The sequence below is a fragment of the Homo sapiens genome, chromosome 10, assembly GCF_000001405.40.
Source record: "Homo sapiens chromosome 10, GRCh38.p14 Primary Assembly".
Lineage (NCBI taxonomy): Eukaryota > Metazoa > Chordata > Mammalia > Primates > Hominidae > Homo > Homo sapiens.
The window spans coordinates 35,246,313-35,268,608 of NC_000010.11; the positions used below are offsets into that span (position 1 = coordinate 35,246,313).

Genomic DNA, 22,296 nt, shown 5'->3' on the forward strand with positions numbered 1-22,296 from the left:
TGATTAAGAGGAAATCTGGCCAGACACAGTGGCTCACGCCTGTAATCCCAGCACTTTGGGAGGCTGAGGCGGGTGGATCATCTGAGGTCAAGAATTCGAGATCAGCCTGGCCAACATGGTGAAACCCCGTCTCTACTAAAAATACAAAAATTAGCCGGGCATGTTAGCACACGCCTGTGATCTCGGCTATTCGGGAAGCTGAGGCAGGATAATCTCTTGAACCCAGGAGGCGGAGGTTGCCGTGAGCTGAGAACGCACCACTGCACTCCAGCCTGGGTGACGGAGCGAGACGCCATCTCAAAAAAGAAAAAAAAAGAAAAAGAAAAGAAAGAAAAGAAGGAATCTATTTAGCAAAGAAAAGCCTTGGGAAGTAAGTTGATCTTTAGACATGTGTGAAATAGGATACTTGAGGGTGAGGATAAAAATCAGGGTATTCTAGGTTTCCTGAAGCTGTATCCTTTTTCCATTCAACTCATCTTTCATCAACCCAAATTTACAGGCCAAATCATTGAAGAATGACAAGTCTAACCTCTAATTACCATGGCGGGTAGAGCGGGGAGGAGATGGTGCACTGTACACAGAGCACCAGGAACCCAAGGGAAGTTAGGGGAGATCCAGGCCCTGAGGAGGGCCATGACCTAGTGATGACACACAAGGGGCATTATTACAGTGTACGCAGGATGACCCTGGAAGGGATGGGTGGGTGGGAGTCAGGAGAGATGTGAGCCTCGTACCAGGAAGATCATACTGAGGCCACCAGGTTGAGAGCCGCCTGGCTGGGGGGCTTGTCCGGGGACAGCAGGGGCAGAGGCATGGAGGTGAGCTCTGTGTGACAGGAGCCAGGCCTGAGAACGCTTGGGGAGGAGGGGGACTGAGGAGTTAGGAGTCATGTTTGTGAAAAGCTTGCTTGGGCGGTGCACTAGCAGAGACTGCAGCCAGGAGACTTGAGAGGTCAGGGAACAGGGCATGATCTAGAGAAGGTGTGGAAATTGAGAATAGGGCCAGGCACAGTGGCTCATGCATGTAATCCCAGCACTTTGGGAGGCTGAGGTGGGAGAATCACTGGAGCCCAGCAGTTCAAGAACAACATAGTGAGACCCTGTGTCTACAAAAAGTTTAAAAATTAGCCAGGCACGGTGGTGCACACCTGTAGTCCCAGCTACTTGGGGAGGCTGAGGTGGGAGGATCACTTGAGCCCAGGAGTTTGAGGCTGCAGTGAGCTAGGATTGCACCACTGCACTCCAGCCTGGGTGACAGAGTGAGACCTTGTCTCTAGATAAAGAAATAAATGAAAAAAATCACACCTGTAATCCCAGCACTTTGGGAGGCTGAGGCGGGCGGATCACAACGTCAGGAGATCGAGACCATCCTGGCTAACACGGTGAAACCCCGTCTCTACTAAAAATACAAAAAATTAGCTGGGCGTGGTGGTGGGTGCCTGTAGTCCCAGCTACTCGGGAGGCTGAGGCAAGAGAATGGCGTAAACCCAGGAGGTGGAGCTTGCAGTGAGCAGAGATCGCGCCACTGCACTCCAGCCTGGGTGACAGAGCAAGACTCCATCTCAAAAAAAAAAAAAAAAGAAAAGAAAAGAAAGAAAGAAAGAAAAGAATAAATAAATGAAAAAAAAAAGAAAAATAGAGAAAGAAATTGAGAATAAACAAGTGGTGAATAATCCGAATGGCAGAGCCATCGGAAGGGGTGCAGGAACTGTCACAAACAGCAAGGCTGTTATTTCACCATCACTTTATGTGCAACACTTGGGGTTCCTTGGAAAAGCAAGGTCCTTGCTCTTCTAGGTTCACAGCCAGGAAATCGTGCAGTGAACCTGTCCCCTCCGGTCACAACATCAAGAGCTGAACTGGGACTAGAAGTCATCGCCCCAGAGCTTTTTGCTACCAGGTGAGCCTTGACCCTGTCATTTCCCAGTGCTAAAAATTATTTCCCTTCCTAGAAAAACCTTTTGTGTCTAATAAATGCTTTGTGTTTTAACAGGCAGTAGGTTGTGGGGACTGGCAGTGGAGGAACACACCCACTGAAAATCAGACTAGGGGCCGGGCGCGGTGGCTCACGCCTGTAATCCCAGCACTTTGGGAGGCCGAGTTGGGCAGATCACCTGAGGTCAGGAGTTCAAGACCAGCCTGGCTAACACAGCGAAACCCCATCTCTACAAAAAATACAAAAAAATTAGCTGGGCATGGTCGTGCATGCCTGTAATCCCACCTACTTGGGACGCTGAGGCAGGAGAATTGCTTGAACCTGGGAGGAGGAGGTTGCAGTGAGCCAAGGTCATCATTCCATTGCACTCCAGCCTGGGCAACAAGAGTGAAACTCCCTCTCAAAAAAAAGAAAGAAAGAAAAGAAAAGAAAATCAGACTAGGGCTGGGTGCAGTGTGGCTCAAACCTGTAATCCCAGCACTTCGGGAGGCCAAGGCCAGAGGATCACTTGATCCCAGGAGGCTGACGCTGCAGTGAGCCGTGCTCATGCCACCACACTCCAGCCTGAGCAACACAGTGAGACGTTGTCTCTAAAAAAGAAAAAGAAAATCAAACTAACACTTTGGTTTCCTCAGCAATGTTTGCTTAGGAAGTGGCCTGAATTTTACACTTTTTAAAAGTCTTTTTTAGTGACACTAGGTTTGTTTTGTTTGGTTCAGTGATAGGGTCTCACTCTGTTGCCCAGGCTAGAGTGCAGTGGCATGATCTAGGCTCACTGCAACCTCCGCCTCGCAGGCTCAAGTGATTCTCCCACCTCAACCCCAACAGGTGCATGCCACCACTCCTGGCTAATTTTTTTGAAATTTAGTAGAGATGAGGGAGGCAGGTATTAACATGTTGCCCAGGCTGGTCTCGAACTCCTGAACTCAAGCAATCCACCTGTCTAGGCCTCCCAAAGTGCTGAGGTTACAGGTGTGAGGCACTGCTCCCTGCCAACACTAGGTTTTTGATGCCTTATATTGAGACTAATGTTGAGTTGTAGAGGTTTTATATTAATATTAACCACTAAGCATGGGCTGGACTAATCTGTTTTGCAAGCAATGAAGCAAGGGCTTTTTTGTGTATGTATAAAACTTCAGTGGAGATTACAGAAAATCCCTAAATGGAAAACTGTGTAGATTGTTTATGTTGTTTAAGACCTTAAAAAAATAACTAGAATGATAGAGAATGAGTCTTGGTCACATTTTATTTCTTAACTGCAAGTTGACTTATTTGGGGTATTTGAATTTTTAAACCTGAAAGCAAGAAAATTACTTCTAGTTAGTTACAAACAAAATAGCCCAAGATACTGCTATATTCTGGAATGTTCTGCAGAAAGTGTGGTTTAGGATTTATGACAATGATGAAGAGAATAGCAAGATAGAATGGCTGACCTCTTCCTGCTTCACCTTGTACAGTAGGGAGTCCTTGCAGAAAAAAATAACCTCGCAGCTTTGAAAAAGATCTGGGATCTAAAGTGAGACGGAGTGCAGTGTCTCACACCTGTAATCCCAGCACTTTGGGAGACTGAGGGAGGCAGACTGCTTGAGGTCAGGAGTTTGAGACCAGCCTGGCCAACATGGTGAAACCCTGTCTCTACTAAAAATACAAAAATTAGCCGGGTGTGGCCGGGTGCGGTGGCTCACGCCTGTAATCCCAGCACTTTGGGAGGCCGAGGCAGGTGCATCACAAGGTCAGGAGATCGAGACCTTCCTGGCTAACATGGTGAAACCCCGTCTCTACTAAAAATACAAAAAATTAGCTGGGCATGGTGGCGGGTGCCTGTAGTCCCAGCTGCTGGGGAGGCTGAGGCAGGAGAGTGGCGTGAACCCGGGAGGCAGAGCTTGCAGTGAGCTAAGATCGTGCCACTGCACTCCAGCCTCGGTGACAGAGTGAGACTCCATCTCAAAAAAAAAAAAAAAAAAAGAAGTAGTCGGATGTGGTGGTGGGCTCCTGTAATCCCAGCTACCTGGGAGGCTGAGGCAGGAGAATCACTTGAACCTGGAGGTCAGAGGTTGCAGTGAGTCAAGATCGCACCACTGCACTCCAGCCTGGGCAATAGAATGAGACTCCGTCTCAATAAATAAATAAATAATAAAGTGAAGGACAGAATGAAGCCATGAAAATCAGGAGTCATGAGGGCATTTTTCTCAAAATATGGTGGTCCATGTATCCTCAGAGTCAGAATCTTCTGAGATGTTTACTATAAATACATATCCCTGGGTCTCATTCTAGAACTGCCGGGTGAAAATCTTTGGAAGAGAAGTTTGAGAACCTGTTAAACAAGCTCTCTAGGTAATTCTGTGCACGTTCAGTCTGAGAACTGCTGCATCTGAAGAGGTAAGCCCAGACTGCTGTCAAGGTCAATTCTGCCTAATAGAGCCTCTTCCTGACATTCTGCCATTTCCATGACCATTTGGTGAGAAGTACTGCACTTAGCTTTTTCACACTTCTCAAAGTAACAGGTTTATGTGTATTCGTAAGGTTCCTTTTCAGTAAATGAAAATACATCTGGGAAGATTCAGGGCTTCGCATTCATGTTCACATCTAACACCTGATTGAGACAATTGCTGTGATCTTGGGGGGATGTTCAACTTCAGGCAATGTTTTCTCAAAATCAAGTATTGATTGATGGATGGATTTTTAAGGTGAATGTCATCTCAAGATTTTATTAAAATATGGAACTCTTCATGAATTTGCATGTCATCCTTGCCCAGGGGCCATGCTAATCTTCTCGTATCATTCCCATTCAAATTCGAATATTTAACTGGATGCTTATAAGGAAAAATAAATGTCCACCTTAGAGTTGTGACTTAAGACTATTTTTTGGCCAGGTGCAGTAGCTCACACCTGAAATCTCAGCACGTTGGGAGGTGGAGGCAGGAGGGTTGCTTTAGCTGGGGAGTTTGAGACCAGCCCAGGCAATATAGTGAAACCACATCTCGACAAAAATAAATAAAGGCTATTTTAAATATAATGTTACATACATATGAGCAAATATAATATTAAATTCCTTAGTGTTATTGGTGTCTGAATCCAATACAAAATGTACAAATGAAATACAAACAAAACTATAAAACTAATAAAAATTAAAATTGGCAGCACAGATGAGACAGATGGTGTTGTTTGCTGAAACTAAATTGCTCATGTTAGGTTTATAGTAGTAGAAAGATGTAGCTTCAGGTGCACTTTTATTTTTGATTAAAGTAACATGACTGCAGATAAGGTTTTGTTTGCTAAATTGGAATAATTAGACTTCATACTTAACCAAACTTTCCCTAGCAAGCAATCCTTCAATGTCACTTTTTTTTTTTTTTTTTGAGACGGGATCTCGCTCTGTCATGCAGGCTGGAAGACAGTGGTACAATCACAGCTCACTGCAGCCTTGATCTCATGGGCTTAAGAGATCCTCCCACCTCAACCTCTCGAGTAGCTGGGACTACAGGCATGAGCCACCACTCCTGGTTAATTTTTGTACTTTTTGTAGAGATGGAGTTTCATTATGTTGCCCGGGCTGGTCTTGAACCCCTGGGTGCAAGTGATCTGCCTGTTTCGGCGGCCCAAACTGCTAGGATTGCAGGCATCAGCCACTGTGGCCAGCCTTCAACACAACTTTTAATGACATTTTTCTGCAACTTTCAGACACCTACAGCCCTCTAGAGGAGGTGCTTTTCTATTTTCTGCAAAGAACAAGATAGTAAATATTTATAGGCTTTGTAGACTAACAGGCAAATTAAGGTATTATATAGGTACTTACAAAACAAGGAAATGTGTTTTTCACACAAGATACTGCTGGACACTGATATCAATCCTAGCATAAGATTTTAATTGTCTATATTCATTGCTTGAGGGCATTTATAGAATTTTATTATATTCTTTCTTTGATATTTGCCTTTTAACACATTACTACACTGCAGATTAATCATTTCCCCTCAAAGGTTATGTAGAGGCTCCTCAACAGCACAGTTAAATGGGTTTTGAAATATGAGAATATCCTGGCCGGGCGCGGTGGCTCAGGCCTGTAATCCCAGCACTTTGGGAGGCCGAGGTGGGCAGATGACGAGGTCAGGAGATTGGGGCCAAACTGGCTAACATGGTGAAACCCCGTCTCTACTAAAAATACAAAAAAATTAGCCAGGCGTGGTGGCTGGCGCCTGTAGTCCCAGCTACTCGGGAGGCTGAGGCAGGAGAATGGCGTGAACCTGGGAAGCGGAGCTTGCAGTGAGCTGAGATCGCGCCACTGCACTCCAGCCTGGGTGACAGAGCAAGACTCCGTCTCAAAAAAAAAAAAAAAAAAAAAAAAAAATGAGAATATCCTTTGCACTTGCATTGAGGTATGAAAAATATTGCTGGAACAGTATTGGAAAATATATTCTCTGCAAATTTGTACTGGATGGAGATCTTGCTTCTTGTTTTACTTTTTGACAGCAGAGGGAGTAAATAAAGCGGCTTGATATTGCTTATGGTTCCAACTGCATTGTTGTCATCCAAATGACTTTATTGAATAGCAGTTTTGTATACAACCTCTGTTTCGTCTTGTAGTTTGAGTCTTAATTCATTAAGAAACATTATCAAGTCTGCAGCAGAAGCTACTTTCCAAAGCCATTCAGAATTGTAGTGGTCGCAGAAAGTCCTCATTTAGAAAAATTTGTATCTTAACTATGAGGTTAAAAAAATATTCCATACAATTTTACCACTACAAAACCATCGAACTGCTGTGTGATAGGGCAAATGAGGATATTTGCTTCTATTTATGACAAAAATTCACGGGACTGAACACTATTAAGTCCATGAGAACAAATGAAGTTCACTGCTGACACTATTGGTTGAATAACACATGATAGAGTCAAATATTTTTCACATATGTACCTGTTGATGACTAGTACAATGAATACAAAGAAGTCTTCCAACACCTTGAATTTTAAAAAAACTTTGTAAATTTGTTAAACTAGGCCTTTGTCTTCTCCACGTAATTTTTTTTGGGATAGGATCTCACTCTGTCATCTAGGCTGGAGTGCAGTTGTGCTATCACAGCTCACTATAGCATCCAGCTCCTGGGCTCAAGCGAGCCTCCTACCCTAGCCTCCTGTGTAGCTGTGACTACAGGCATGCACCAGCATGCTCACTATTTTTTTTTTTTTTTTTTTTTTTTTTTTTGTAGAGATGGGTGTGTTGTGGGGGGAGTCTCTCTTTGTTGCCTAGGCTGGTCTTGAACTTCTGACTTTAAGCCATCCTCCCACCTTGACCTCCTAAAGCATTGGGATTACAGGCATGAGCCACCACACCTGATTTTTATCACTATCCATTTTAACACATCTTAGTAGATTCCCCATGAGGGAATCTCATGGTGTTTTCTCGAGTTCTCTGAAAATATTCTCAATTATATTTATTCCATGTAGACCATTCATAGAGGCTAACATTCAGTGACTCAAACCAGGCATTGACTCCTTGAATAAACAACAACTGAATAGTGTTGGAAATACCTGTTGAGTCATTAGAAGCCAAGGAAAATCACTCAAAATCATTTGCATTGTTTTAAAATTGGCTATTGATGTTGCTCTCAATATCCTCAACTGTTTGAGCAACTGTTTTTTTTTTTTTTTTTTTGAGACGGAGTCTCACTCTGTCGCCCAGGCTGGAGTGTAGTGGTGTGATCTCGGCTCACTGCAACCTCTGCCTCCCGGGTTCACGCCATTCTCCTGCCTCAGCCTCCTGAGTAGCTGGGACTACGGGCGCCCGCCACCATGCCCAGCTAATTTTTTTGTATTTTTTAGTAGAGATGGGGTTTCACCGTATTAACCAGGATGGTCTCGATCTCCTAACCTTGTGATCCGCCGGCCTCAGCCTCCCAAAGTGCTGGGATTACAGGCATGAGCCACCGCGCCCGGCCTTGAGTGACTGTTTTTTACCGAAAAGTGAATAGTCTTATACTAGTTTATTTTCTCTGGACACATTTCTTTGGCTTCTGAAATTAAATATGATTTAATTAATTCACCATCAGTAAATGTGTTTGCTTGCCTAACAAATGAGCCATTTGGAAATTTATTTTGGCTGCAGCTTCATTTTTATTTTCTGTTTTAGTGAAAAAAATTATGCTGTAATGAGATATTCTTTCTGAAATTTCCTAATTTTTCTGACCGGTTGCTTTCCTGTGAGTTGAGAATAGTGTGATGAATGCCTAGTCTGGTAATGCTGACCTATTACATGTTATTTTTTTCTTTAGCACATAATTCCTTGTCATCTAATTTGATGATAAAATAATTAGGCTGGGTGCAGTGACTCATGCCTGTAGTCTCAGCACTTTGGGAGGCCAGTGGATTGCTTGAGCCCAGGAGTTCAAGACCAGCCTGGACAACATGGCAAGACCCTGTCTCTACAAAAAAATACAAAAATTAGCCAGACATGGTGGACTGAGCCTGTAGTCCCAGCTACTCGGGAGGTTGATGTGGGAGGATCACCTGAGCCCCCAGGGAGGTTAAGGCTGCAGTGAGCTGTGATCGTGCCACTGCACTCCAGTCTGGGGGAAAGAGTGAGACCCTGTCTCAAAAAAAAAAAAAAAAAAAAGGAAAGAAAAAAAGAAAAAAAAAGGTGTGTTGTTTAATTTCTATGAATTTTCCAGTTTTATTTCTGTAATTGATTCCTACCTTTATTCCATTGTGGTCAGAGAGGATACGTTGTATGATATTTTAAACAATCGACTGTTGGGTTGTGGCCTAACAAAGGGTCTACCCTGGGTAACTTTCCATGTACACCTGAGAAGAGTGTGTATCCTGTTGTTGCTGGGTAGACTGTTCTATGTATATAACTGTTCTATGTATATAACTGTATATGTCTAATAGACAGACAGTTGGTTTATTTTGTTAAATCGTCTATTTCCTTACTTATCTTCTGTCTGGTTGTTCTATCCATTATTGACAGTGGGGCATTAAAGTCTACAACTGTTATCCTAGAACTGTTTATTTCTCCCTTCAAGTCTATTAGTTTGTGCTTTACATATTTTGATGGTCTGTGAGGTGCATAGATATTTATAATTTTTTTCTTTTTTTTTTTTTGAGACAGAGTCCCGCTCTGTCACCCAGTCTGGAGTGAAGTGGCACGATCTCGGCTCATTTCAACCTCCACCTCCCAGGTTCAAGCGATTCTGGGACTATAGGCACACACCACCATGCCTGGCTAATTTCCGCATTGTTTTAGTGAGATGGGGTTTTATCATATTGGTCAGGCTGGTCTTGAACTTCTGACCTCAGGTGATCCACCTGCCTCGGTCTCCCAAAGTGCTGAGATTACAGGCATGAGCCACCACACCCAACAAATGTTTATAATTTTCAGAGAAGTTCTCTCTCTGCCGCCCAGGCTGGAGTGCAGTGGCATGATTAAGGCTTACTGTGGCCTCAACCTCCTGGGCTCAAGTGATCCTCCCACCTCAGCCTCTCAAGTAGCTGGGACCACATGCATGTGCCACCATGCCTGGCTAATTTTTAAAAATTTTGTAGAGATGGGATTTCACCATGTTGCCCAGACCGGTCTCGAACTCCTGGGCTCAAGCGATTTGACCACCTCAGCCTCCCAAAATACTGGGATTACAGGTGTGAGCCACTGCCTCCAGCCATATAATTATTAAATCTTCTTGCTGTACTGAACCTTTTTATTAATCTATAATGTCTTTCTTTGTCAATTGTAACTTTAAAAAATTTAAAGTCTATTTTGTCTAATATTAGTATAGCCATCCCTGTCCTATTTTACTTACTATTTGCATGGAATATCTTTTTCCATTTTTTCACTTCCAACGGATTGTGTCTTTGGATCTAATAAAAATCATCTGAAGATAGCATATAAGTGGATCAGGTGCTTTATCTATGCTGCTAATCTCTGATTTTTGATTGGAGAATTTAATTCATTTACATTTAAAGAGATCACTGATAAGGTGGGTTTTCTGTCATTTTGCTATTTTTTTCTATATGCCTTATAACTTTTTTGTCCCATGCTTCCTGCCTTACTATCTTTTGTGTTTACTTGATTTTTTTATAGTGGAACATCTAAGTTAATTTCTCATTTCGTTGTGTGTATATCTGCAACTATTTTCTCTGGTTACCATGGAGATCGCATTTAACTTCCTAAAGTTATAAAATTCTAATTTGGATTTATACCACTTTAACTTAACATACAAGGCTGGGCGGTGGCTCACACCTGTAATTCCAGCACTCTGGGGGGTCAAGGTGGCTGGATCACAAGGTCAGGAGTTCAAGACCAGCCTGGCCAGGATGGTGAAACCCCATCTCTACTAAAAATACAAAAATTAGCTGGGTGTGGTGGCGGGTGCCTGTAATCCCAGCTACTAGGGAGGCTGAGGCAGAGAACTGCTTGAACCCAGGAGGCGGAGGTTGCAGTGAGCTGAGATCGTGCCACTGAACTCCAGCCTGGGCGACAGAGAGAGACTCTGTCTCAAAAATAAAACATTAAAAAAAAAAAAAAAAAATTCCACTCCTTTATAGCTAGGTCCTCACTCCTCTTGATTGTTGGTGTCACGAAATTACATGTTTATAATGTGCTGCCCCAAGCCATAAACTAATAATTATTTTAAGTGCATTTGTGTCTTAAAAGTAAAAAACAAAATGTGGAATTACAACTCAAAGTTATAATAATACTAGATTTTTGACTAATTTTTAAAAATGTATTAGTCTCTTAAGAGACTATCATATAGTCTATCATATAGAAAACAAAAAGTGAAGTTAAAAACCCTTGTTACAATAATACCACCTTGTATAATGGCCCATGTATTTACCTTTATTGAAATCTTTGTTTCTCCATATGGCTTCCAGTTACTGCCTAATGTCCTTACATTTCACACTGTATGACTTTCTTGAGCATTTATTGTGGGGCAGGTCTAGTGGTAATTCTCTCTTTCTTTTCTTTTTTCTTTTCTTTTCTCCTCCCTCCCTCCCTCCCTTCCTTCCTCTTTCTTTCTCTCTCTCTTTCTCCCTTTCTTTTTTTCCTTTCTTTCTCTCTCTCTTTCTCTCTCTTTCTTTCTGTTTTTTTTTTTGAGACAGGATCTCGCTATGTTACTCAGGCTGGTCTCAGACTCCTGGGCTCGGGTGATCCTCTCTCCTCAGTCTCCTGAGCAACCAGGATTGCAGGCACACACCACTACACCTGGCTCTCCCTCATTTTTTATCTGGGAAGGTCTTAATTTCTCCCTCACTTTTGAAGAACTGTTAAGCCAAATGCAAGATTCTTGCTGTTGTTTGTTTTGTTTTCTTTTAGCACTTTGCATACCTTGGCTCACTGTCTTCTGGCCTGCAGAGTCTCTGGGAGAAATGTGCTGACAGTCTTATTGAGAGACCCTTGTATGTGATGAACCCCTTCCCTCTTGCTGCTCTCAAGATTTTCTCTTTGTCTCTCAAAAGTCTGATTCTAATGTGTCTTGGTGTGAGTCTTTGAGTTTATCTTACCTGGAGTTTATCGAGCTTCTTGGATGTTTATATTCATATCTTTCATCAAGTTTGGGATGTTTTCAGCCATTACTTCTTTGAATATTCTCTTGGCTTTCCCCTTCTTCTTCTGGGATTAGACTTCCATAATATGTATGTTGGTCTACTTGGTGGTGTCCCACAAGTCCCTTAGATTCTGTTTACTTTTCTTCAATCTTTTTTCCTTCTGTTCCTTAGACTCAATAATTTCCACTGTCTTTTCTTTAACTTTACTGACTCCTCCTTCTGCCTGCTCAAATCTGCCTTTGAATCCCTCTAGTGAATTTTTCATTTTATTGTGCTTTTCAGCTCTAGAATTTTTTTGTTTCTTTGGGAGGCAGAGGTTGCAGTGAGCCAAAATCGTGCCACTGCACTCCAGCCTGGGCGACAGAGTGAGACTCTGTCTCTAAATAAATAAATAAAACACAGTAACTCTGGAAATCAGATTCTCAGAGTTTGCTGTTCTTTGTTATGGTTTTTGTTTATTGTTGTTATTGTTAACAACTGCCTTTGTGACAAGAAGTCAGGCTGAGGTGAAAAGCTGATGTCTTCTGAGGCCTCTTCTGAGCCTGTGCCTTTCCCTGGGCAGGTGTGAGTACTTCCTAATTTTCCCTGTATATGCAGTTGCTTTTGACTATCCCAGACTTTAGTATCTGACTCCCAAGGGGGAAAGAAAGAAAAAATGAAGGTGGGGGAAGAGTGCTGGCCCTTCATTTCCAGAGGAGGAGGGTCTTGCCACAATGACAGAGGTGCAACAAAATCATCCACCTGCTTCTTTTTGCCTCTGTAATCAAAAGCAGCAACCAGTGATTCTGATATTTGTGGAGATTCCTAATAGTTGGAGGATAGGGCTTCTTTGCCGACCCTGGCTCCTGCAAGTTGGTTCAATCTGCCTTAGAAACACATGTGGGGTACAGTGGCTCACGCCTTTCCCAGCACTTTGGGAGGCCGAGGTGGGCGGATCATGAGGTCAGGAGTTCAAGACCAGCCTGGCCAACAGAGTGAAACCCTGTCTCTACTAAAAATACAAAAATAAGCTGAGTGTGGTGGCATGAGCCTGTAGTCCCAGCTACTTGGGGAGGCTGAGGCAGGAGAATGATTGAACCTGGGAGGCGGAGTTTGCAGTGAGCCGAGATCGAGCCACTGCACTCCAGCCTGGGTGACAGAGAGAGACTGTCTTAAAAAAAAAAAAAAAAGGAAACACATGCACTGCTGCCTGCCGTGGGGAAAGGTGGTGAGGAAAAGGGTAGCTGCTACCGCACCAAGAGCTGAAATTGACCAAAATTAACCACAATTTACCATCTAAGTCATTCTGCTGAAAGCTGCAAGTCTTCAATAGATTCCAGAGTTCTAAAACAGTTATGACAAAGAGATTCTGCCCGGGTAATTGTTATCTAGATAGGGAGACCGATTCTTGGTGCTTCCTATTCGATCATCTTTCCAGAATCCTCTGTCCAGGCCTTTGTTTGAAAGTATAGCTTTAAATCTTGTTATTTTTCCTTGGGTGGGGTTTTATTTTCAGCCTTATTTATTCACTGTGGCCTTGACTTCCTAGGGTCAAGTGATCCTCCCACCTCAGCCTCTTGAGTAGCTAGGAGTGCACCACCATGCTTGGCTGGTTTTTAAATTTTCTGTAGAGATGGGATCTCACTATGTTGCCCAAGCTGGTCTTGAACTCCTGGGCTCAAGCTTCACAAAGTGCTGGGATTATCGGCATAAACCACCACACCCAGTCCTGGTTGTTTTTTTTTTTTTTTTTTTTTTTTTGAGACAGAGTCTTGCTCTGTCACCCAGGCTGGAGTGCAGTGGCATGATCTTGGCTCACTGCAACCTCCACCTCCTGGGTTCAAGTGATTCTCCTGCCTCAGCCTTCCAAGTAGCTGGGATTACAGACACACACCATCATGCCTGGCTAATTGTTTTTTTTTTTTTTTTTTTTTTAGAGACGAGGTTTGGCCATGTTGGCCAGGCTGTTCTCGAACTCCTGGCCTCAAGTGATCCGCCTGCCTCGGCCTCCCAAAGTGCTGGGATTACAGGCTTGAGCCACTGGACCCAGCCCCAGTCCTATTTTTTTTTTAATGTAGAAAAGAAAATGTGGGCTCTTCTTAAGGAAATTTTATGCATAATCAAACAACATACTTTTTTTTTTTTTTAAAGGGACCCTGGGGCATCCCATTGGCTCAGAAAATCACTTGCTCTTCAAACTCTTACAGCCATTTTCTATTATACTAATGTCCCAGGAAGAAAGCAAAACTACCAGGGCCAGAGAAAGCACGGCAATCTCTATGTTGGGACTAAGAATTTGATCCTGTTCATGCTTTGTCTTTCTACTTCCACCTTCAGTGCCTTTTTCTGTTCTTTTCCGGTGCTCTCTTTTCTCTCTTTTCTCCTCTCCCCCATGCCTCTTGTGGTATCATGCTACCTCATCCTTCCTATCATGACCAAGGCATTTGATGAACTCATTCCTGCCAGCTCTTCTCAGAGTCTGAGTCAGACAGGACCACAGGGAGAAAAGACTCTTGAATCATGGGACTTACATTTGGGTTAAAGCACAGACCAAATGCTGTATGTAAGAGCCTACCTCTGCAAGGCTGCCCCTGCTCCCACTATTGCACCCATCCTGCCAGGGGCCGACTGGGCTGACACCATCATTCCCGTCACTCCCACCACTCCCCTCCCCTCCCAGAATTGCAATAGTATGTCAAATCTGGGACCCCGATCAGGGATCTGGGAAGTTGAGAAAGCATCCAGTTGGCAAACTAAGATATGGGTTTCACCCTAAGAAAAGAGTTTTAAATGCTGGCTGTGCATGAAAATTGCCTGGGAAATTTTAGAAGAATGTAAGCGCCTGTGCCCCATCTGAGGTCAATCAGGTCATTTGATGTGGTTTAGAATAACTGCCCAGTTAACATTGCCAGGCAGGGACTGTCACCAGGACATAATTTCTCTTCTCCACATCCAAATCCTGACCAATGCCTAATGGAAGGGACTTTTGGGATCCTTGAGTTACATTAGAAGCTGATAGTTCCATTTAAAGATCGTGGCAGTTCCTGCAAGGCTTGGTGTGTTAAGTGTGTGAACAGTGGCCCCGGTTCTGTGGCTCAAATCTATAATCCCAAAACTTGGGCAGGAAGATTGCTCAAAGCCAGAAGTTCAAAACCAGCCACGGCAACCTTGTGAGACCCCGTCTCTACAAAAAATAAAACAATGAGCTGGGCATGGTGGTGCACACCTGTGGTCCTGGCTACATGGGAGGCCAAAGTGGGAGGATCACTTGAGCCCAGGAAGTTGAGGCCACAGTGAGCCGTGATTGTGCTACTGCACTCCGCCTAGGTGACAGAGCAATAATCTGCCTTAAAAAAACAAAAGAAAACAAAACAAAACTGAATAGCTTTGGCAGGTTGAGGAAGGAGGATCGCTTGAGGTCAGCAGTTTGAGACCAGCCTGGACAACATAGCAAGACCCTGTCTCTAAAAAAAAAAAAAATTTTTTTTTTTTTTTTTTGAGAGGGAGTCTCTGTCGCCGAGGCTGGAGTGCAGCCTGGTGCGATCTCAGCTCACAGCAACCTCCGCCTTCTGGGTTCAAGCGATTTTGCTGCCTCAGCTTCCCAAGAAGCTGAGATTACAGGCGTATGCTAACACTCTTGGCTAATTTTTGTATTTTTAGTAGAGACAGGGTTTTGCCATGTTGGCCAGGCTGGTCTCAAACTCCTGACCTCAGGTGATCTGCCCACCTTGGCCTCCCAAAGTGCTGAGATTACAGGCATGAGCCACCACACCTGGCCTACAAAAAATTTAAAAAATTAACCAGGCTTGGTGGCTCATGCCTGTAGTCTTAACTACTCAGGAGGCTGAAGCAGGAGGATTGCTTGATCCCAGGAGGTCGAGGCTACAGTGAGCCACCATGATGCTGTTGTATTCCAGCTTGGGTGACAAAGGGAGACCCAATCTCTAAAAAAATTTAACGGAATATAGATAACTGAATAGGCCAGGCACAGTGGCTCATGCCTGTAATCCCAGAACTTTGGGAGGCCAATGCAGGCAGATCACCTGAGGTCAGGAGTTCAAGACCAGCCTGGCCAAAATGGCAAAACCCCGTCTCTACTAAAAACACAAAAATTAGCCAGGCATGGTGGTGCGTGCCTGTAATCCCAGCTACTTGGGAGGCTAAGGCAAGAGAATTACTTGAACCAGGGAGGTGGAGGTTGCAGTGAGCTGAGATGGTACCATTGCACTCCAGCCTGGTCAAAAAGAGTGAAACTTCATCTCAAAAAAATAAAATAAAATAAAAAGAGAGATCAGGAGTTCGAGACAGCCTGGGCAACATGGCAAAACCTCATCTCTACTAAAAATACAAAAATTACCTGGGCATGGTGGTGCATGCCTGTAGTCCCAGCTACTTGGGAAGCTGAAACAGAAGAATCTCTTGAACCCAGGAGGCGGAGGCTGCAGTGAGCCAAGATGGCACCTCTGCACTCCCACCTGGACAACAGAAACTCTGTCTCAAAAAAAAAAAAAAAAAAAAAAGAATTGAATAGTATGAGTGTCACACAGAAGGTCAACATGAGTCATTTTATTTTATTTTATTTTATTTTATTTTATTTTATTTTATTTTATTTTATTTGAGATACAGTCTCACTCTGTTGCCCAGGCTAGAGTGCAGTGGTACAATCTCAGCTCACTGCAACCTCTGACTCCTGGGTTCAAGCAATTCTCTTGTCTCTGCCTCCCGAGTAGCTGGGACTACAGGTGCACGCCACCACACCTGGCTTATTTGTTTATGTTTTTTAATAGAGATGGGGTTTCACCATATTGGTTAGGCTGGTCTAGAACTCCTGACCTCATGTGATGCATCCACTTCGGCCTCCCAAAGTGCTAGGATTACAGGGGTGAGTCGCCATGACTGGCCAGCATGAGTCAATTATAAACTAATTATATCATTGATTGATATTGGGACTGGGGAGTCTAAAAGTTTGGATTATCCTGGTATTGACTTTCCTTTAGATTCTCTAGAAAGCATCTTGAAGAAACATTATACTGACCTTAGGCTTCTCTTAACCAGTCTTTTCTCGGAAGAGTTTTAAAGTACCTTGACTCAATCCATAACTTGAGAAAATATGGAAGAAATGAAACATGAAAAAAATTCTCACTCTAAGAACAGTGTTCTAAAAGGAAAAAAAAAAGGTCACGTGTGGTGGCTCATACCTGTAATCTCAGCACTTTGTGAGGCCAAGGCAGGAGGATCACTTGAGCCCAGGAGTTCAAGACCAGCCTGACTGAGCAATATAATGAGACCCTGTCTCTACAAAAAATTTAAAAATTAGCCGGGCACGGTGGCTCACGCCTGTAATACCAGCACTTTGGGAGGGCGAGGTGGGTGGATCACGAGGTTAGGGGATCGAGGCCATCCTGGCTAACATGGTGAAACCCCGTCTCTATTAAAAAATACAACAAATTAGCCAGGCGTGGTGGCGGGCTCCTGTGGTCCCAGCTACTCAGGAGGCTGAGGCAGGAGAATGGTGTGAACCCAGGAGGTGGAGCTTGCAGTGAGCCGAGATCGCGCCACTGCACTCCAGCCTGGATGACAGAGTGAGACTCCGTCTCAAAAAAAAAAAAAAAAAAAAAAAAAAAATTAAAAATTAGCTGAGTGTGGTGGCACGTGCCTGTAGTCCCAGCTACTCGGGAGGCTGAGGTAGGAGGATTGCTTTAGCCAAGGAGTTCAAGGCTGCAGTGAGCTATGATGGTGTCACCGTACTCCAGCCTCAGTGGCAGAGCAAAGACCCTGTCTTAAAATAAAATAAAATAAAATAAAGAAAAAGGGGAGGGGAGGAGAGAGGAAAGGAAAGGGACAGAAGGAAAGCAAAAGGTAAAATACATCATTAAAGACATTTTTACTTTCTTTTTTAAATTATTTATATGTATATATTTTTATTCAATTTTTATTTTAAGTTCCGGGATACATGTGCAGGATGTGCAGATTTGTTACATAGGTAAACACGTGCCATGGTTGTTTGCTGCACAGATCATCCCATGGCCTAGGTATTAAGGTCAGCGCCCATTAGCTATTCTTCCTGATGCTTTTCCTACTCCCCCAACAGGCCCTAGTGTGTGTTGTTCCTCCCAATGTGTCCATGTGTTCTCATCATTCAGCTCCCTCTTCTAAGTGAGAACATGTGGAGTTTTGGTTTTCTGATGCTACGTTAGTTTGCTGAGGAATGGCTTCCAACTCTATCCATGTCCCCGCAAAGGACATGATCTCATTGCTTTTTATGGCTGCATAGTATTCCATGGTGTCTATGTACCACATTTTCTTTATCCAGTCTATCACTGATGGGCATTTAGGTTGATTCCATGTCTTTGATATTGTGAATAGTCCTGTAGTGAACATATGTGTGGCACGTATCTTTATAATAGAATGATTTATATTCCTTTGGGTATATACCCAGTGATGGGATTGCTGGGTCAAATGGTATTTCTTTCTTTTTTTTTATTTTATTATTATACTTTAAGTTTTAGGGTACATGTGCACAATGTGCAGGTTTGTTACATATGTATACATGTGCCATGTTGGTGTGCTGCACCCATTAACTCGTCAGGTCAAATGGTATTTCTGCCTCTAGGTCTTTGAGAATCACCACACTGTCTTCCACAATGGTTGAACTAATATACATTCCCACCAACAGTGTAACAAAGTTCTTTTTTCTCTGCAACTTCACCAGCATCTGTTGTTTTTTGACATTTTAATAATAGCCACTCTGACTGGTATGAGATGGTATCTCATTGTAGTTTTGATTTGCATTTCTCTAATGATCAGTATTGTTGATTTTTTTTTCATATGTTTGTTGGCCACATGTATATCTTTTGAGCAGTGTCTGTTCAGGTCCTTTGCCCAGTTTTTTGTTTTGTTTTGTTTTGTTTTTGAGCCAGAGTCTCATTCTGTCACCCATGCTGGAGTGCAGTGGCGTGATCTCGGGTCACTGCAACCTCAGCCTCCCAGGTTCAAGTGATTCTCCTGTCTCAGCCTCCTAAGTAGCTGGGATAACAGGTGCCCACTACCACACCTGGCTAATTTCGCCAAGTTCGCCAGGCTGGTCTCAAACTCCTGACCTCAGGTGATCCACCCACCTTGGCTTCCCAAAGTGCTGGGATTACAGGCCTGAGCCACCGCGCCCGGCCTTTTGCCCAGTTTTTAGTGGTGGTGTTTTTGTTTTTGTTTTTTCTTGTAAATTTAAGTTCCTTGTAGACTCTGGATATTAGACCACTGTCAGATGGATAGGTTGGGAAAATTTTCTCCCATTCTGTAGGTTATCTCTTCACTCTGATGATAGTTCATTTTGCTCTGCACTCTTAATTTCTTAAAGGGGGAGGGATGATAGCAAGAGAATCCTTGTGTCTCTACTTTTAACAAATGATGATGAAATATTTGGGGACTGCCTACAATGAAAATCTTCACAATCAAACGACTAGGAATAGGCTGAGGGTATTAGTAGACTGGTGACCTATTGCGATGGACATAATGTGAAGAAATAATTCCGGCATCTTACGTACTAATCTCATTCTTTCCTTGTCAAAGGAAAACAAATTAGATAAATAAAGAAGAAAGCTGAAGATTAGTGTTCTTTTTAACTTGACAAATAATGATGTGTATGTTTATGGGTGGAGATTAGGGTTTCTACAGTTGTTTTAGTTGTGAATTTCTGGGCCTTTCCACTGTCATTTATTAAACTTCACTTTGCAACTTTGGTGCATAAATCAGTTACTTCTGTGGAGGCCTCTTGCCTGCAGTGAGCCCTGTGCGCTAGGTCTTGACCGTGCAGCCAGCGTTGAGAGCTGGGGGAGACAGCAGCGAGAGGCCCACGCCAAGCGCCTGAAGGTGCCGCTCCCGGCCGGCTTTGAATGAGGAGCTGAGGATGCACACAGGCGTCCTGTCACTGAAGCAGGGCACGGGTTGCCTTATATGTGAAGTTTCCTTAGTGGTTAAGGAGAAGGGGGCTTTTCAGGGAATGGCTCTCCAAAGCACATAGCTTCTGAGAGGAGCATAGAAGAAGGTCTAGTGGGTTGGCCAAGGTGGGGCAGATATGAAGCCCACCAGCGTGTCACTGGCATGCTTGCTGCCTCCCACGCTGTCAGAGTCACACCTGCAGGCCACCGGGAGAGGCTGTGGGTCACACAGCAGAAGCCAGCCCCACTCTTTACATTCTACAAGCACAATTATTTGAAAATTTAAAATTCTAAATGACATAAGCCATCCCTGGGTTGTTATGAAGAATAAAAGATGACAGAAAAGAATTTACATGTATCTCCAGGAAACTTCTCTTTTTTTATTTACTATTATTATTTTTTGAGATGGAGTCTTGCTCTGTCCCCCAGGCTGGAGTGCAGTGGTACAATCTCGGCTCACTACAACCTCCACCTCCCAGGTTCAAGCAATTCTCCTGTCTCAGCCTCCCGAGTAGCTGGGATTACAGGCATGCGCTACCATGCCCGGCTAATTTCCTTTTTTTTTTTTTTTTTTTTTTGTATTTTTAGTAGAGATGGGGTTTCACTATGTTGGTCAGGCTGGTCTCAAACTCCTGACCTCAGGTGATCTACCAGCTTTGGCCTCCCAAAGTGCTGGAATTACAGGCGTGAGCCACCACCCCTGGCCCCAGATAACTTCTGAAGTGAGAAATGTAGCATGATTTTTTGATCACTTGGTGGAGGAATTCCATGTAGCAGACTGATTTAAAACATTCTCTCTCTCACGCGTGGACACAGGCACACATTTCTCCTGTTCTATTACTTCCCCATATAGAGGATCCTCCTGTGCTGCAATGAAAATACTTCTCATTAACCATAAACGAACCGAACAGAATGTAACAAGAGCCCTAATGCAATGTCGGTCACAGAGATAGCCCTACAGTGGGTGATGCGGGGGGAATCGTTAGCATCAGGAAGGGTGTCATTAAGCGTTCTTATTTTTTACTTGTATAGATTTAGAAAGTGTTGACCTGATTTGAATGTAATTCATTCCACTTTCTAGGGCTCTCCTTGAAAGATGACCTACTGTCGCCGGGTGCGGTGGCTCACACCTGTAATCCCAGCACTTTGGAAGGCCGAGGCAGGTGGATCTCCTGAGATCAGGAGTTCGAGACCAGCCTGGCCAACACGGTGAAACCCTGTCTCTACTAAAAATACAAACATTAGCTGTGTGGTGGCAGGCACATGTAATCCCAGCTACTCAGGAGGCTGAGGCAGGAGAATCGCTTGTACCTGGGAGGCGGAGGGTGCAGTGAGCTGAGATCGTGCCATTGCACTCCAGCCTGGTGGATAAGAGTGAGACTTCTGTCTCAAAAAAAAAAAAAAAAATGACCTACTGTGGGTAATGAGGGCACATAGAACAGCTCTTTCCATAAGAGAGTCATTCCAGGACGGGTGCAGAGTGGTGCTCCTGTAATCCCTCCGCTTTGGGAGGCTGAGTTGGGGGGATCACTTGAGCCCAGGAGTTTGCGGTTGCAGTGAGCTATCATTGTGCCATCCTACTCCAGCCTGGGCAACAGAGAGAGATCCCATCACTTAGAAAAAAAAAAAAAAAGAGGATAATTCCAGCCTCATCCTCGGGCTTTTGTGGGAAGCTTCTTCCCTGGTGGGCCTCTTTCTTCTCCAATTCTCCTTCCTGTTGACATGCTCAAACACTCTGGGGCTGGCTCATTCTTTTGTTGCCAAATGAGGAACAGGCTAAAGAGCCCAGCGTGGAGCTGTCACCCCGTTCTGCTGGGATACACAGCTGACAGTCCAACATGTCCATGGTGGTGGGCATGGGGGTAGATTTGGTCTGAGTCTGGCAGGAAGCCAGAGGAGAGGTTCTGACAATGATATAGATGTAAAAGGAAGACGATGGGGCCCTGGTTGCTCCCTCTTGTGACAGAAAACACTGCTTCCAAGTATCGATTCCCAGGATGAAAAACCAAAGAAACTAATAAAAAGGACAGTGTGGGCACGAGTGCTGCCCTTTTGTTCCTTACATGTTCCTGCTTGAGTTGTGCAATGTCGGGTAAATAGCTGAGCGGTGGAATAAAGTCACTGATTTACTAAGTTGAAAAAACTGATGGGTTAACCCATAGCTGAAAAAGTAAGAATTATTTTTGAGATGGGGTGTTGTTGATGGCTGATGTGATACTTCAGTTCTTATCTTCTTTTTTCCTTTTTTTTTGAGACAGAGTCTCATGACCAGACTGGAGTGCAGTGATGCAATCTTGGCTGGCTCACTGCAGCCTGCGCCTCCCAGGCTCAAGGGATTCTCCTGCCTCAGCCTCCCAAGTAGCTGGGATTATAAGCATGCGCCACTACACCCGGCTAATTTTGTATTTTTAGGTTGGTCTCGAACTCCTGGCCTCAAGTGATCTGCCTGCCTTGGCCTCCCAAAATGCTGGGATTACAGGCGTGAGCCACTGTGCAGGGCCCCTTGGTTCTTATCTTCTTGGTGTAAAAGAATTTAAATGCCAGGTGCGGTGGCTCACACCTATAATCCCAACACTTTTGGAGGCTGAGGCAGGTGGGTCACTTGAGGTCAGGAGTTCGAGAACAGCCTGGCCAACATGGTGAAACTCTGTCTCTACCAACAACGACAAACAACATTCAATCTTAAGGCTTGAATACAATCTTTGCCTCGTGTCCCACATGGCTGTGGTTGGGTCCCTGAGGCTTCCCTGCCCCCGTGGTTTTGCTGAGCACAGTGTATACCACAGCTCTTACAGGTTTGTGTTGTGTTCCTGGGGCTCTCCCAAGCTGGTATTGTGTGCTGGTGGCCCCACAAGTCTAGGGTCTTGAGGTAGCCCTGTTCCCACAGCTCCACTAAGCATTCTAGCCAGGGCTCT

The 22,296-nt window shown here is 44.1% G+C and overlaps 1 protein-coding gene and 1 pseudogene across 1 annotated transcript in view, besides 1 other annotated feature; one reads left to right on the forward strand and one right to left on the reverse strand.

Moving 5' to 3' along the window:
• The first annotated feature begins 712 nt into the window (after positions 1-712).
• The window catches only part of CCNY (cyclin Y), a 325,643-nt gene continuing 304,059 nt past the window's right edge, over positions 713-22,296 (forward strand). Inside the window, exons 1-3 of the mRNA NM_181698.4 lie at positions 713-818; positions 1,797-1,899; positions 4,210-4,314. The gene's annotated coding sequence lies outside the window, so the exon portion shown is untranslated. The remainder of the gene's footprint in view (positions 819-1,796; positions 1,900-4,209; positions 4,315-22,296) is intronic.
• Positions 1,316-1,494: a silencer, noted in NCBI's record as "fragment chr10:35536556-35536734 (GRCh37/hg19 assembly coordinates)". NCBI's record gives its function as "represses an EF-1alpha promoter that drives an FKBP-Casp9 reporter gene in an ReSE screen in K562 erythroleukemia cells {active_cell/tissue: K562}" and the evidence as "EXISTENCE:reporter gene assay evidence [ECO:0000049][PMID:32094911]".
• On the reverse strand, positions 4,647-4,740 carry RNU6-1167P (RNA, U6 small nuclear 1167, pseudogene; annotated as a pseudogene).